At 37.6% G+C, this 16,873-nt stretch overlaps 1 long non-coding RNA gene across 3 annotated transcripts in view; it reads right to left on the reverse strand.

Moving 5' to 3' along the window:
- Positions 1-16,873, reverse strand: part of LOC105370767 (uncharacterized) — a 51,260-nt gene that overhangs the window by 7,848 nt on the left and 26,539 nt on the right. Inside the window, exon 1 of one of the 3 annotated variants that reach the window (XR_932106.1) lies at positions 9,032-9,098. The exons of the other annotated variants lie outside the window; for them this stretch is intronic. This is a non-coding gene — a long non-coding RNA (uncharacterized LOC105370767). Of the gene's footprint in view, positions 1-9,031; positions 9,099-16,873 lie in introns of those variants that run through there. 3 annotated transcript variants of the gene reach the window in all.

Genomic DNA, 16,873 nt, shown 5'->3' on the forward strand with positions numbered 1-16,873 from the left:
ACAGACGGTTTTGCTTTTCCTTTCTAATTTTTATTGCTTTGATTGCTTTATATTGCCTTATTGCAAGTGCAATATTAAATAGAAGCGGTGGATGCAGGCAATTTTGCCTTTCTCCAATCTTGGGAAAATGTTCAATATTTCACCACTAAAACTGATGTTAGCTATAGAGCATAGCTATACATAAATGCTGTTTATCAGATTGAAGGAATTTTCTTTTATGCCTAGCTTCCTAGGGGTTTTAAAAAAATGTTTGCTGTTGTTGTTGTTATTTTTTAATTGCGGAGAAGAGGACAATGTTTTTGTCAGATTTTGGTATCCAGGTTATGTTAGCCTCATAAAATGAATTGGAAAGTGTTCCTTCCTCTATCTTCTGAAAGAATTTGTGTAATGCTGGCTTTTTTCTTTACTAAATATTTCATAAATTTCAACATGAAAATTATCTGAGCCTGAGATTTTCTTTATGGAAAAGTTGTTTTAATTATAAATTTAATTCATTTAATATATGCATTATATATTTATTTAATAAATGTAGTTCTATTTTAATTCTATATTTCCTTTTATGCCAATGTTGGTAAATTATTTTTTAAGGAATTTGTCTCTTTCATATAAATTGTTGACAGTATTGAAATAAGTTATTCATCATATTATCTTACTATCCTTTTAATATCTAGATCATATATAATGATGTTCCTTCTTTCAGTCATATTTATTTCTCTAGTGTTTTTCCTTAAACAGTCTTGCTAGAAGTTTATTAGCTTTATTAATATTTTCAAAGAATTCACATTTTGCTTTATTCATTTCTCTGTTGTTCATTTAATTTTTATTTCACTTGTTCTGCTTCTATCTTTGTTATTTCTTTCCTTCTACTTAACTTGGCATTTAATGTACTCTTTATCTAGTTTAAGAAGGCAGCTTAGGTCATTTATTTAAAATGTACTATCTTTTCTAATAAAAAACTATAAATTTTTCTCCAAGCACTGTCTTAGCTGCATCACGTAAGTGTTTGGATGATAAATTGTAACTATTATTGCTCAAAATATCTTCTAATTTCCCTTGCAATTTATTCTGTAACCCATTGGTTACACAGAAAATATTCTTTACTTTCCAAATACCTAAAGTATTTCTAGATTTGTTATTGCTATTGATTTCTAATTTAATTCTAGAGGACATTATCTATAAAATTTAATCTTTTAAAATGAGTTGAAACTTACTTTTATCCCATTTATATGGTGTATCTCTTTAAATAATCAATGATTATTTGAGAAGAATGTGTAATCCTGTAGTTATTAAACTAGTGTTCTATAAATTGTTAGGTCAACTTGGTTGCTAGTGTTACTGAAATCTATTGTCTCAATAATTTTTTTGCCTACTTTTTCTGCCAATTACTGAAAAAAGGTTAATACCTCCCATTATTATCGTAAATTTATCTGTTTCTTCTTTCTATTATGTAAATTTTGCCTACACATTTTGAGAATCTATTATTTGATGCATATGCATTTATGATTGTTGTGTCTTCCTAATTAATTGCACCCTTCCTCATTACGAAATATCCCCTCTTTTTCTCTTGTAAACCTCCTTGCCTCTGACAATCCTTATGCCTTAAAAGACTACTTAATCTAGCCGGGTGCGGTGGCTCACGCCCATAATCTCAACACTTTGGGAGACTGAGGCTGGCGGATCACCTGAGATCAGGAGTTCGAGACCAGCCTGGCCAACATGGTGAAACCCTGTCTCTACTAAAAATTAAAAAATTAGCCTGGCATGGTGGTGCATGCCTGTGGTCCCAGCTACTTGGGAGGCTGAGGCAGGAGAATCACTTGAACCCTGGAGAAGGGGGTTGCAGTGAGCCAAGTTCATGCCACTGCACTCCAGCCTGGGTGACAGAACAAGACTCTGTTTCAAAAAAAAAAAAAAAAAAGAAAAGAAAAGAAAAAGAAAAGACTACTTAATCTCATATCGACATAGCCACACCAGCTTCCTTGTACTTACTCTTTGCATAATATATTTTCCATACATTAACTTTCAATTTCTAATGCTTTGATATTAAGATATAGCTCTCTAAATGTGATTAAATCTTGTTTTTATCCAGTCAGAAAGTCTCTGAATTTTCATATTATTTAGTATATTTCCATTAATATAGTTACGATATGAGTGAGTTTAAATGTACCATCTTGTTTCTTGTTTTCTATTTAGCCCATCGGATATTTGTTCCTCTTTTCTTTACTTCTTTGGTGTCAATATAATATTTTTCAGTTTGCCATTCTATTTCCTTCTTAGACTTTTCTGTATACCTCTGTGTATTACTGTTTTAGTACTACTAGTCTAGTTATCGAAATGCATAACTTATCAAAGTCCACTTTGAACTAATATTGTATCACTTCACATAAAATACAGGAATCTTATAACATTATAAATAATATAATGTCCATATAGTCATCCCTCATCATGAGTATTCTTGTTGCTTATATTTTACTTCTAAATGTGTTTAAAATGTACAATAAAATGTTATTACTGTTGCATTAAACAGACCATAGTCTTTCAAAATTTCTAAGGGAAGTAGAAAGTTTCACACTTATCCACATATTTATCATTTCTAGTTCTTTTCATTTCTTGCTGTACCTCTGATTTTCCATTCAGTATCATTTCTAAAGAACTTTCTTTAGCATATCTTATAGTCCCAGTCTTCTGGCAAAGAATTCTCTCAGATTTTTTTTTACCCAAACTGCCTTTAATTTGCCTTCTTTTTTTATTTTTAATTTTTGTAAGTATATAGTAGATATATACATTTATGGGGTACATGAGATATTTTGATACAGGCATGTAATGCATAATAATCACATCAGGATAAATGGGGTATCTATCACCTCAAGCATTTATTACTTCTTTGTGTTATAAATAATCCAATTATTATATTTTAGTTATTTTTAAATGTACAATAAATTATTCTTGACTGTAGTAATTCTGTTGTGCTATCAAATAAGGGATCTTATTCATTCTAGCTAACTAAACTTTTGTGCCCATTAACCATCATCCTCTTTCTCCTTCCCCCCAACCCCCACTACCCTTCCCAGCCTCTGGTAACCATCATTCTACTCTCTATCTCCCTGAGTTCAATTGCTTTAATTTTTTTAGCTCCCACAAATAAGTGAGAATATGCAAGCTTTGTTTTTCTGTACCTTAATTTGCCTTCATTTTTGAAGAATGTTTTCTGGATGTTAAACTCTGGACTGAGTGTTTTATTTTCTTTTGGCACATTATAAGTATTTTTCAATTGTCTTGTAAGCTTCCTGGTTTCTGATGAAAGGTCAGCCATAATTTGTATATTGTCATTTCCTTGTATGCAATGCTCTTTTTTCTATTATTAAGATAGCTTTTAATTTTTATTATTAAACACTTCGACTGTAATGTACCTAGGTTTTTTTTGTATATGTTTTTCCTGGGGATTACTGATCTTCTTAAAACTGTACTTTGATTATTTCACCAAAGTGTGAAATTCTCAGCCATTATTTCTTCAAATATTTTTGTTCTATTTTCCTTTTCCTCTTATAAACTCCAATTACAAATAACTGAGACCACTTGATATTGTCCCACAAGTCACTGAGCCTCTGATCATTTATTTTCAGTCTATTTTTACTCTGTTCTTCATATTTGATTATTACAAATGATCTCTCTTCAGGTTTGCTAGCGATTTTTCCTATAATATACAATATACTGGTAATGTGAATTTCTCATTTCAGATATTGTCTTTCTGAGTTCTAGGATTTCCATGTGGTTTTTTTTTTATAGATTACCTTTTTCTGCTTAGATTCCCCATCTATTCACTCATTCTGTCTTCTTTTCCTTCAAATCTTTGAACATACTTATAATGGTTGCTTTAAAGGCAATGTTTGCTAATTCCAACATCTGGGTCATTCCAGTCTCTGCTCCTAGTGACTAATTTTTGTTACTTGATCATCAGTCATATTTTCCTGCTTGTTTGCATGTCTGGTAATTTTTAAATTTACGTTGTAGAGAGCATAGATTATGTTTTCTGCTGTATTTATTTTCAGCAAGGCAATTAAATTACTGGAAGATCTTCTTAACCTTATTAAACTGTTTATGCTTAGTGAGGACTACTCTGTTTTAGATTTTGCTTTAGTCCTAGAATATGGTTCTTTCTCTAGTGCACGCTATTTATGGCTTAGGCATGGCCTTTCTCATGCCTCCATGTAATGCCAGAGGTACCCAGAAAGGTCTTTTCACTTTTGGTGGGCCAGAAACCCACCATGTTTCAGCCTTGCATGACCTCTGATAGCTTTGCTCACCTCTCAGCCCCAGAGCAAGCCATCTTCTCTAGACTTCAGAAAGTCTTGCCCTATGTATACACACCCTGGCACTTGGGAAACAACTCAAAGTAATTTCCCAAGCTGACTTATGGGCCCTCCCTTTACACAGGGCTCTCCTCTCAAATACCTTTTGCTTTAAAATCTAGTCACTTCAGCGTCTCTAAATTTTGATCTCTGCCTTTTCATCAGCTAAACTGTGCTTGGACTCTACCTCCCACCATTGGGAAAGATGTTCTTAGCAGGAAGGTGAGGTAAATGCGGTTTGCCTTATGAATGTCCCTTCTTTCAAGGACCGTGGTTCTATGCAGCCTGTTGTTAGATGCTTGAGAACAGTTACCTCATATGCTTTTTGCCCAGGCCTACTGTTCTTTAGAAGAGACATGGTAAGTCTAATATCAGTTACTTTACCATGTCCAGAAGCAGAAGTTCTCATTTTATATTTTTAAAGGGAAGAGCCATCTAATCACTTTGCTCCTTTTGTATTTTAATCTGGCGCTGTTAGAGAGGTTGGATATGAAAAAGCAGGAAGACCTTTAAGAAGAATATTGCAGTAGTCCAGATGTCAGATAAGGATCGTGGTAGTAGAGATAGAGGAGAGACAAATCTGAGAAACACTTAGAATGTAAAACCAGCAGGAGATTAAGAAAATATAAGGGCTAGATTTGTAAGGTCAAACCTGGTGATGTCTTAAATGCTATGGCCTACCCCTTCAGTCTAAGTGTTTGTTTCCCAAGGCATTGTCTTTTAAGTAACATAAAATACTTTCTTTGGTTTAAATATAATATCAACAAACTTACCAATAATTGGTTTGCACAGTTCAATCCAAACCAGTTTGCATGTGTTTATAGCCCTCCTGTTCTTAGCCAGCATCCCAAAATTCAGAATGTCAGCATGACAATCTCAGACCTTAGAGTTTATCTTTTCATTCAAAAAGTTGATTGAGGTTTGTGTGAATAGTGAAAACCATTAATTTATTATTCTCATGTCCTATTTCAGGCTTATCTCAGGGAAGTACTACTATGAACATCCTGTGCAATGATGGGAGTGGGATAATTGTAAAACACAACATTCACTGAACACTTCTATGTGAACTGTGTTAAATGCTTTATTTAAATCATTTCATTTTACCCTTATAATAACTTGTGAAATGGGATCTATTATTATATTCCTTTTAAAGAGGAAAAGTCCTGTGGCATAGTAAGTAATTGGCATACCTGAAATACAAATTGTGGTCAGTTTGACTCCTAATATAGTTCCACAGCATCTCATTCAACCACTGTGCTAGAAATAAGAGGTTTTGGTCAGGAGAGAAACATGGGCAGAAATCCAAAACTGGTTTCTTGATTCAAAAGTTGGGTACTTTACTCATGAAAATGTCAGGCAGCATAAAATGTAAGTGGAGTAGACGCAATGAGTCAACATGGGCAGATCTGAGATGAAAGGCATTAGATTTGGCACACAGATGCTAGCACAAGGAGGACAGACACTTGTCCACATAGCCATTTTCTATCATTTTCTTCCCAGCAGGGTGGCAGTTTTGTATGGCCGTTCTTCCCAGCAGCCACGTGCTGGGGAAAGGACCTCTCTCAGTTCCAAAAAATAAATTTTGGATAGCCCAAGTCAGTCACAGTCATTCTGCCCTCCTTGCCAGTAATTAGCCATGAGTATGTGATGCAATTCTCTCTAGTGAAAAGTGAAGGAAAAAAAAACAAGTTTCCTCCAGGGTCAATGTGGAGGTATAAGAAAACCATCCTTCCTTGATAAGGAGTGACCTGTGAAGGAAGGGCCCCATTCCTCTGCCTGTGATGAGGTACATGAGCGTGTGATGCCTGGGAAGGTAAGAGCCAGCCTAGGACCATGAATAGATGAGCCAACCTGCCAATGTGGCAGAGAAGAAAGGCTGAATGGACCTGGGTCTTTGATCATTTCTTTGAGGCATGTAATGAAGAAACCTTACACTTACTTTTCATGCTATAATACCTTTCTTCATTATTTAACCACTATTAGTTAAACATTCTGTTACTTAATACTGAAAGCACCTTAACAGATACTGCAAGTTTCCTGTTGGCTCAGACCAGAGGTTGACAAATGTACTCCGTAAAATGGTCAGATAATTAAGTATTTTCTGCTTTTTATGCCATACAGATTCTGTCACAAATACCTAACTCTACCATTATAGCATGAGAGCTGCAAAAAAAAATTATGTAAATGAATGTGTATGGCCGTATTCCAATAAAACTTTATTTATAAAAACAGGAGGCTAGATTTGGCCCATGGGCTATAGACGGCCAACCCTTACTTAATAAATTCATATGAACCTAACTTAGTAAATTTAGACACAATCTCTTTGGTCAGCCCTAGGCTGAATAGACTTGGGGGTACACCTAACAGTCTCTATCACAGTACTTTTATCGAACAAATTAACCCATGAATGTCACAGAGCATTCAGGACCAACATTATTCCATATACTTACTCTGACAATAGGGTTCAGTCTTCTACTTAGTACTTCCTATTTAACAAGCATGAAGTTGTCTACATATTTTTGAAATAGTCATGGAACAATTGCCTTCCCTATATTTTTTCCAAGAGATTAGAGAGTAATCTGACACAGAAGGGATGTTAAATAAATATTTCATACATATGTAAATAATGAAGAAGTAGAGAAATAGACAAATGGGTGAATGAACAAAAAAAGTGAGGAAAGATTGAACTGATAAAAACCTTAAGATAAAGTTCTATGACTAAGCAAAAGGAAGATAATTTGTGGGGATGGAAGAGCAGAATATATTAATGAGTTAGGCAGAATAATAGCTCCCCAAATATGTTCATGTCCTAATTTTCAGAAACCATGATTTGGTTCCCTTCCATGAAAAAAGGGACTTTGCAGAAGTGATTAAGATTACAGATTTTGAGCTAGGGAGATTATCCTGGATTATTCAGGCATGCCCAAAGTAATCAAATGAGCCATTAAGCATAGAATTTCTCCCAGTTGTGGTCAAAGAGCATGATGATGAAAGAAGAGTCAAAGAGGTGGGATGTTGCTGGCTTTGAAGATGAAGGGGTCATGAGTCGAAGAAAGTGGGCAGCCTCTAGAAGCTGGAAACAGCAAGGAAAGGAACTCTGCCCTCGTGCCTCCTGAAACAAACATAGCTCTGCCAACATGTTGATTATAGCCCAGTGAGACCTGTATTGGATCTCTGACCCATAAAAATGTAAGATAATAAATTTTTGTTGTTTTAAGTCAACAAGTGTGAAGCAATTTGTTAAAGCAGCAATTGAAAACTTATACAACTAATAGACCATATCATATCTCTAATTAACAGTTTCTTAGAGATCCGCTATGTTGATTGCCATTATTCCTCCTTATTCTCTTACTACTCTTTTGCCTACCCTATTCTTCACACACATCCTGTAGCTCTATATTTCAACAATATTGTTGTCTGCTTAATAACACCAAGACTAAATTTTTTTAATCTGAACAATATAATGGTTTAATTCATAAAAACTCAATAGATAGACCAGGCATGATTTCCAAATGGTCACCATAAAGAGACCAAGGGAGAAGGTTGCTATCCTTGATCCAGTGTAATTGGTCTGCCTAGGTCTCACTTGCTCTACTAGGAAGACAACAGGTTTGGTAGCTCTGCTACTCAGAGACATTGTGGGGAGCTTTCATAAATAGTTTTCTGCCTGTGCTTCATTTCCCTGTTTAAAACTGTAAGTGAAACGAATAACTTTCATTCATCTCATCCCATCTCTCAAAGGTATTATATATCATTTAACAACTTGTAAGTATGCCACAGACAGGAATTGACAGGACAATGTCGATTTACAATAATAATATTAATAAACTTGTGAAACTGTATAGACTTAATAAACTTGTGAATCTGTGTAGATCTCAGGTTGATTCTTCCGCACTGCTGTTCTCTCTCTTCAGCTAGAATAAGCAGTCTGACATATAATGCCAAATTCATTTTCACCGAGGGCTCACTCTCCACAAGGACTTGGTCAGTTCAGAGTGACCAACTCAAAGACAGTGGGTCCCTGCCCTCCACTTTCATGCCTGTCTGCTCTGGGTGGCCAGGCTAGAACAGGATGAGCATTTCTACACATATAATGAAGGTATGGCCTTCATAGTGTTCCTCATCTTAGCCATCTGTGCCACATCCACTGCTGCATGTATTTGAGTATTCTCCCACATCATTCCCCATTACATGAAGCTGGCTTCACTCAGTGCTGTGCAGAAGATAGGTCGTTAGCCTCAGCTAAGTCCCCACTTCTCCAAAGCAGTGGAATTCCCAAATAACCTCACTTCATATGCTGCTTGTTCAACTCTCTTATCCTTCCACCATGTTATTTTGCTGTAAGATGCCTGACAATCCAAAGAAAAATAAAATAATTTTTATTGATGTATAACATACATCAGGCCCATATTCATGACATGTGGAATGAGCTAGTGGCTAACTTGCACTGCTTATACTAAACACTCTCTAAGGTAACATTTGAACTCTGGTCTTTTCCCAAGCGTTTGTCAAATAATAAATAAAATATAAATTCATGATATTACCAAATATTAACCCATAATTCTCCAGCTTCCAGGGGATCCCCAGGCTTCAATCACCTATTTCAGTACCAATTTCCAGACTATTCCCAAAATACAAAAACAGCAATACAAAAACACTATTCAAATATTTTAAGAAGTCACCTTAAGGAAAATAACAGGTTCCTGGCTCGTCCAGGAAAGATGGTACTTGACATTTGTTAGTTTTCTGGACTAAGCTTTGGTTTTAGGTTGGGGGATTCTAGGGAGGCCTAGACAATAGGTTCTAGAGCCTGGTTCTAGAGCCTCCAGTCTGCAGGTTCTCACAGATTGGTCAGGGAAAGCTCCAGAAGTTCCTTTCTTGTGGACTATCATCAAGGTCACCTAAATGAAAAGGGAGATATTTTTTCACAGATTGCGCAGGCTAATTCCACATAGAAGATGGAGACTCAGAGCACTGTTATGCTCATATAAGGTTAAAGGAAACAAGGAGAGTCATAGACTAGATTCTACTTACTGAATTGTTGCAAAGTTGAAATTCTGTGGCTCACGATGTCCCTCTTATTTATTTATTTATATTTTTTGAGACAGGGCCTCACTCTGTCACCCAGGCTGGAGTGCAGTGACACAATCATGGCTCACTGAAGCCTTGACCTCCCAGGCTCAAGCCATCCTCTTGCCTCAGCCCCCCAAGTAGTTGGGACCACAGGCACATGCCACCACGCCCATCTAATTTTTATTTCTTTTTTGTAGAGACAGAGTCTCACTATGTTGCCCTGGCTGGTTTCAAATTCCTGGGCTCAAGCAGGCCAGCCAGGATACCTCTTTTGATGCATGAATTAAAAACAAAAGCAAAACGTGTTCTCAATACCAATATCTTATAGAAAAATGTCATGAAAAAGATGCAAGCTGCCATGTTAATACAGAAAACTAAATCACCCTTACCCTCATGTAATGCTTGGCTGCCTAAATCCTAATTTTAAAAAACTGACTAAAATAACAGCAACATCAGTTACATGCTATGAAATGAACATTCTAGTCAATTCACAAATGTTAATGTGTACATTGGCAGTGATTTTGATTCACCCAAAGAACAGTTTCAAAGGAGCCTATGTCTCAAAGACTGAGTTTGACGTTCAATAAACTTTCCTATCTCAGTTTTCCTAACAATGAAAATCTAGGTTTAAATCATATAGAATTCCATAAAATGGCCTAGACTATTTTGGAGGCAGGTATGGTTAAAATGTATTATATTTGTGCTGAATTTATCAAACTCTCTTCAAATGTTCTTTTTCCTTGGTAGTGGGCTAATCCTATATTTCCCTCTACAATTAATGATAGTTTCGATTGCTAGTGTTACAGGATTTTTTTGGTGCCAGTTTGCCAGCAAGAAATCTTTGCGCCTGCCATATCCTCTGCCTAAGGCCTTGCTCGGGCCTGCTACGCTTGCTCTGCCCACTCGGCCCAGCAGGCTGCACTCAGCCCGTGTCCCAGCCCAGATCCCGCGGCAGAAAAGGGACTCTGCTTAGCCCACAGATGGACCAGGTGTGTCACGAGTAAATTTTGTGTTGGGCACCAGTGTCTAGACAAGGGGAACGTGGTGGCGCTTGAAACCTCAGAGATGGCGGCAACCGCAGAGCCCCAAGGGGTGTCACAGCTCTCACCCAGGGAGTGGTGAGGTCTCAGCCCCCAAGAAATGTTGCAGTTTTTGTAGTTCTGCAAGACAGCCAGGAGGGAATGGCGCCCAGTGGCTTCACTTCTTCACACCCACAGCTAGGCCAACAGGGGCGTGTTATAGCTTTCTTCGCTCCCACCGCCCGTACCGTGGTAAACTGGGGGCCTGTTACAGCTCCCTTCGCACCTGCTGCCCACAGCTCAGAAAAAGGGGGCGTGTTACAGCTCGTTTGTTCTCACCACCCACAGCTCAGCGAGTTCCAGGTTCTTGTACCACGACCAAGAGGAATAAAGTACATAGACACTGGAGAGTAAGGCAGAGAAGAATTTTACTGAGTGACAGAAGGAAAGCTCTCAATAGTGAGAGGGGACCCTGAAAGCGGGTTGCCCTCAGCTGTGAGAAGCGGCCTGAAGGCAGGTAGGCCTCTGTGAGGCTGAGTCCAGAGTTTCTGTTGGCTCAGAATGGGGGAGTGCGTGCTGATTGGTCCATGGGTAGGCTTTGGAAAAAGCACCATTCAATTGGTTAAAAGCCATCATCCAGAAGGAACCAACTGAGAGAGAGAGAGAGAGGGTAAGTCTCACTCCAGCTGTGGGCTCTATCCAGAACCACAGCTCAGTTTTCAGGCTTTAAACTATCTTTGGGTTGAAGGTTGGATTTCACTGGGGACCCATCCCTGTCTGCCTAGAGATATGTCTGCCTCTCGTAGCTAAAACTGGCACAGTCAAATTTAACCTGGTTTTAAAAAATTAATATATGCTCTGACATAAGACTAACCCTGAATATAAGATCATCCTTGATATTTCTGATAAAAATCCTGAAGTCATTTTTGGACAAATTGAATATATATAAAGATCTTAGGAGTGTAGATAAAATTGTCAAATGTCTACTTACAGTGTTTTGTTGATTTAGTTATACTTTCATATTAAAGTTGACTATATTAAATATATTACTGGGGAATATTGCTGTATCCACTCACATATTTTACAAAATAATTTCATTCATACTTTTCACATACGTGTTTAACATCATTATATTGATTTTCACCAAGGCCACTGAGTCATCTGACACAGCTTTCCAGGGTGCTCTCTCCATTCGCATCTGCCTGAGTTCTTTGAGATACTGCCCTATGTCAACCCACATATAATGCTGACACTTGCTATTTTATCTCAAGCACCGATTCACACAACGTTAAAGCTGATAATTTTTTTTTATGTAGTTGTATACTCTTGATTCTTGATTTCTACAACTGAAGTGCTGTGCTACGATTTTTGTGTTTTGTTTTTTTGAGTCTCGCTTTGTCACCCAGGCTGGAGTGCAGTGGCGTGTTCTCGGCTCACTGCAACCTCCGCCTCCTGGGTTCAAGCAATTCTCCTGCCTCAGTCTCCTGACTAGCTGGGATTACAGGCGTGCGCCACCACGCCTGGCTAATTTTTGTATTTTTAGTGGAGACAGGGTTTCACCATGTTGGTCAGGCTGGTCTGGATCTACTGACCTCGTGATCCACCTGCCTGGGCCTCCCAAAGTGCTGGGATTACAGGCGTGAGCCACCGCGCCCGGCCAGTGCTGTGTTTATTTAATGACATCAAACACTTGCAATTTTAAAGTCACGTTTCATGAAACCATTACTAAATCCGTGTTAAATTTCTTTGTCTCATTTTGGAACAATTGACTAAGGCACTCTCGGGCTAATGTGTCTTATGCTAATAACCATTCGTATAAAAAAAAATAACAGAAAACACCACAGAAGATGAGATACTTTGCAAGGAATTGATTATAAAGAGTGTGTGTGTGTGTGTGTGTGTGTGTGTGTGTTTAAAAATCTCACCCTTATCTGTGTATATAGTAACATCATTTTTTCAAAACTAAGTTATAGTTCTTTAGTATATTCAGTTTTTCTTATATCCTGCTTATTAGTATGGCATAAATAGCAAACCAGAATTTTTATCAGTGACTAAATACAGGTGAATAAAAAAAATACTGCATTCAGCTCTGGATTCAGCTTGTTAACCAGTGAAGAGGGCTAATGAAAACCACAGGTAATCCTCAAACCTCATTTCGGCCATTAGTTTCAATCTTGTCCCCTGCTCCTTCTTTTACCAGAATTGCTGACAAGGAGTAAAGTGGGGCTGACTAGGATTTCTCATCCCACACACCTCTGGCAGAGGTGCTAATGAACAGCAGAATGGCCACAAGGCAGCATACCCAACGTAGCGAAGAGGCAAGGGAGTGAGGTAATCCTCCAGCTGAATATAAACCACTGATAATGCCAGCTTAATCTCCACTTCTGTCACCTATCCAGAGGCAGCAGTCTTACCCTTTTACTCAAAAATACTAAATAATTAGAAAGACTTGGCATAAATGATACAATTCAGCCATTTTGTACTCAATAATAATTATTTACCTTAAAAGATTTCATTTAAAATGAGTGTTTTAACAGAACATATAGCAAGGTGCAGAGTGATTTCTCATTCATATTACCAATTAATAACAGAAGAATTCTCTGAAAACCGAAAACATTTTGTTCCTGCTAAAATCGTCTGTTGGTTTAACCAAGCTGGCACAGACTGAGCTCGCATTATGCTTATTAGAAGGATATGTTGCAGCCAAGCTGTGTTTATTAAATATATACAGTGCCTACATTACCGGGATTTATAACACACATCAACAGTTAAAAATTAAAGACTGTAACATATCCATTTATATTATAGTGCTTCAACAAAAGTCAGCATAATTGTGAAATTTATTAAGCATCTGCAAAAATATCGATGGACTATAAAGCTTGACTTTTCTTATTTCAGGATAAACCCAAGCTCCATAAAATTCCATTCGTTTTCCTATTTAAGTATTTTTAACCCCAAAGTTAAGTGTCCTCTGACAAAGTATCCAAGCCGTTACAAACCCTCATATGCCCTGAAATGTTTTCTTTCCATGACCGTAAGCTTGTTGAGAATATAGACAAAAATGCCAGGACCATGTAAGCCCCCAAAACAACATCATTCAGTGAGCTCATGGAAAATCAAAAGTGAAACTCATTAGAGACAGGCAAAGTATAAAAGAAACGAACCAAATTTAGCTTCATTACTCAAGCTGAGTGAAATGCAAAACACAAACAATGTAAGGAGGTACAGGTCCTTTGTATTTTAGCAATTCTTAAATTTTTTATGATTCTGGGTTTTTGTGGTTGCTTGGGAAAAATGTTTTAATGTAAGATTCATCTTGACAAGAAGGCCTATAACAATGGTACTGCTTAGAATAGCCCAATTAAAATGTTCACATTTGGTAACTTTGCATTATATAAAAAGTACACAATGGAATATGGATCATTATCACTTTTCTTTCCTGGAATCAAAATACTGAATGTTGCATGGCACCAAAATTGCCCCTCCCACCCCTGAAAAAGCCCCAAACCAAGTCTGAATATCAACCAAGTTAATTAAGTCCATATGGGGAGACAGGCGTCCTGGGGACTTTTTACTTCTTAAGAGAAAATACATTGATTGTAACCCACATATGTCAGCTTCTCTTATCTGTATCTTTGCCCAACTATTTTTAACTATATAATTATTTATTTTTATTGTCATCCCTCCCTCAAGATCGTACGTAGCATAAGTGTAAGGACTACATCTGGTTGTCATTTTTTAAAACTATTATAGGTCCAAATGCCTAGGGCAAAAATAAGGCAAAAAAATAGACTAGACATTGCTGAACTAGTTCTGGTTTATCTAAAAACTTGCATCAGTTCCTCACATCTCTTGGCCACTAAGGAACCAGCTGGTAGGCTGATTCTCAGCCTCCTCTTCCCCAGCAATGACATCACTTGTGAAATTCCATTTAGGCTCCAGCACTTCCTTCTCTTACCATATACCCCTGAATTCCTAGATTCTAGACTAAACCGAGAGGTTTTCAGCGTGAAAGTGAGACCTGATGAGTAGAAGGCTATTTAAAAGAGTCAGCATTTTCTCATGTAAGTCATGCAAAGTGTCAGATTTCAAGGATGGAGGTGGCTTCTGAGGTAGCTGCCCTCCTAAATTGGTCATTGGGCATCATTTTACCATGGCCACTGGTTTCCTACCATTAACCTTCCTGTTACCACATAAGAAATCATTGTGGGGTAAATCAATTTCACTGTCTCATTGCACAAATAAGTAACTCAAGTCAGTGAGAAATCTATAGGACTTTCTTCACAACACTAAAGACCACCCTTGACATTCATGACCCATGAGCATCTGGTTACCATTTAAATCACAGAGAACAACCCTAGAAAATCTGAGCCATTGCTCTTACTCCTGCATACAAATATCCTCCAACTCAGGGGTCCTCAACCTCCAGGCCATGGACCAGTATCAGTTGTGGGCTGTTAGTAACTGGGCTGCATGGCTGGAGGTGAACGGCAGGAAAGTAAGCCAAGTTTCATCTATATTTACAGCCACTCCCCATTGCTTGTATTACCACCTGAGCTCTGCCTCCTGTCAGATTAATGGCAGCATTAGATTGTCATAGGAACCCAAACCCTATTATGAACTGTGTTTGGGACCTAGGTTGTGCGCTCCTTATGAGAATCTAATTTGTGTCTGGAAGACAGTGATGATTTGTCACTGTCTCCCATCACCCCAAGATGGGACTGTCTAGCTGCAGGAAAACAAACTCAGGGCTCCCACTGATTCTACATTATGGTGAGTTGTATAATTATTTCATTGTATATTACAATGTAATAATGGAAATAAAATACATGATAAATGTAATGCATTTGAATCATCCTGAAACGATCCCCCCACACTGGTCTACAGAAAAATATTCTTGCACAAAACCGGTCCCTGGTGCCAAAAAGGTTGGGGACCGCTGTTCCAACTCAAGGAACCCACAAAACTTCATGGAGATGCCAAAGATACAGGGCAATAGTTAAAAAAAAAAAGTTATTTTGATCTGTTTTGAACAGAAAATTGTACTTAACAGGGGGTTATGATTGTGAAGAATGCTGTATGCCTGACAGCTCCTAGCATATTGTGGGAACGGAGTAAAGTCTTCAACCATGACTTCTGTTCCTTTGTAGTCCCCAGAACCTATCGCAAATCCAGACACAACTCTGATTGGTGATAAACAGGATTCCAAGAAAGAACAAAAGTTGAAATGAAATGTCTTTGGAAACTGCATCTAAATCTTTTCTCAATTTTCTGACTAAATTTGCATATTTTTATCAGATAGATGTGAATAATGCAACAAACATATTGTAATTATGATTTTTAAAAATGTCTTGTATGTCATCTTAAAACTCACAGAGTTCAAGGCTTACCAACCTAAAAATGTTGTCTGGGGAAAAAAAACTAAATGATATGGGTAAAAGTCCTCTCAAAATTTGATTTTGTTACCCTTTAAAACTCTCTCACATCCTCTTAAAAAATATTAACTAATACTTGAAACCACGGATGTGTGCTCTAACTGCCACCCTATAGGCTGCCTTCAAGTTAGATAGCATGCTTTAAGGATGATGCAACCATTGGATTTTGACTCCACTTAAGGGGTCAGTCTCAGACTGGAAACTGTTTTCCCTTTGGGAGAGAGGCTCCAACATGCCTCTTGCTTTGTACAGACTTCATTGTAATCTGCTTCAAGGAGCCACATCGTCTGGCAAAAGTTGAAGGAAATGTCTGTGTCTGACTTGACTTATTATCATCATGCCTCCGGTAGGAGTGTTAAAAAAGTACACTCCCTGAAATTTGGGTTGTGGTTATACTTGGGTCACTGCCTGCTGATAAAATGCCATCAGTGTTTGTTTCCTCCTTAGTTCTAACCTGAAAGGGTGTCATCTAAGATGGTTTGGGGTGGGGGTGGGGGTGAAATAACATACACGAAGGGAAAACTGCTGCATAAAACCAATTCTGGCCCTGCAGGAACACATTGAACTGAATATCAAATTACATGGTTGGAGGCACTGGGGACTAACCCTCTTTGAGGTCCTCAGCTTCCAATCAATTAGAATAAAAGGTGCCAAATTAACACAAGTCAGACCAAAGCAGATTGCAAGATAAGCATGGAAGTTTGGGGGGATATAAATAGGATGTATGTATATTGTTAATTTTAATGGTAAAAGAAGAGAGGGGAAAATAAACATTGATATCAAACGAAGCTTTTACCTTTGAGAGATACTTATTTGCCAGTTTGCCAAGATATTTGAAGAAGTATCTATATATTTGTTAAATAAAACATTCATAAATTTAAAACATGGGATTTCCTTGTTGTTTATTCAAAGGAATGGCTTGAATCTGCCAGGCCTGCCATAACAATACACCACAGACCAGGTGGCTTAAATTAAAGAAATTTATTTTCCCACAGTG

The sequence above is a fragment of the Homo sapiens genome, chromosome 15, assembly GCF_000001405.40.
Source record: "Homo sapiens chromosome 15, GRCh38.p14 Primary Assembly".
In the NCBI taxonomy this organism is placed as follows: domain Eukaryota; kingdom Metazoa; phylum Chordata; class Mammalia; order Primates; family Hominidae; genus Homo; species Homo sapiens.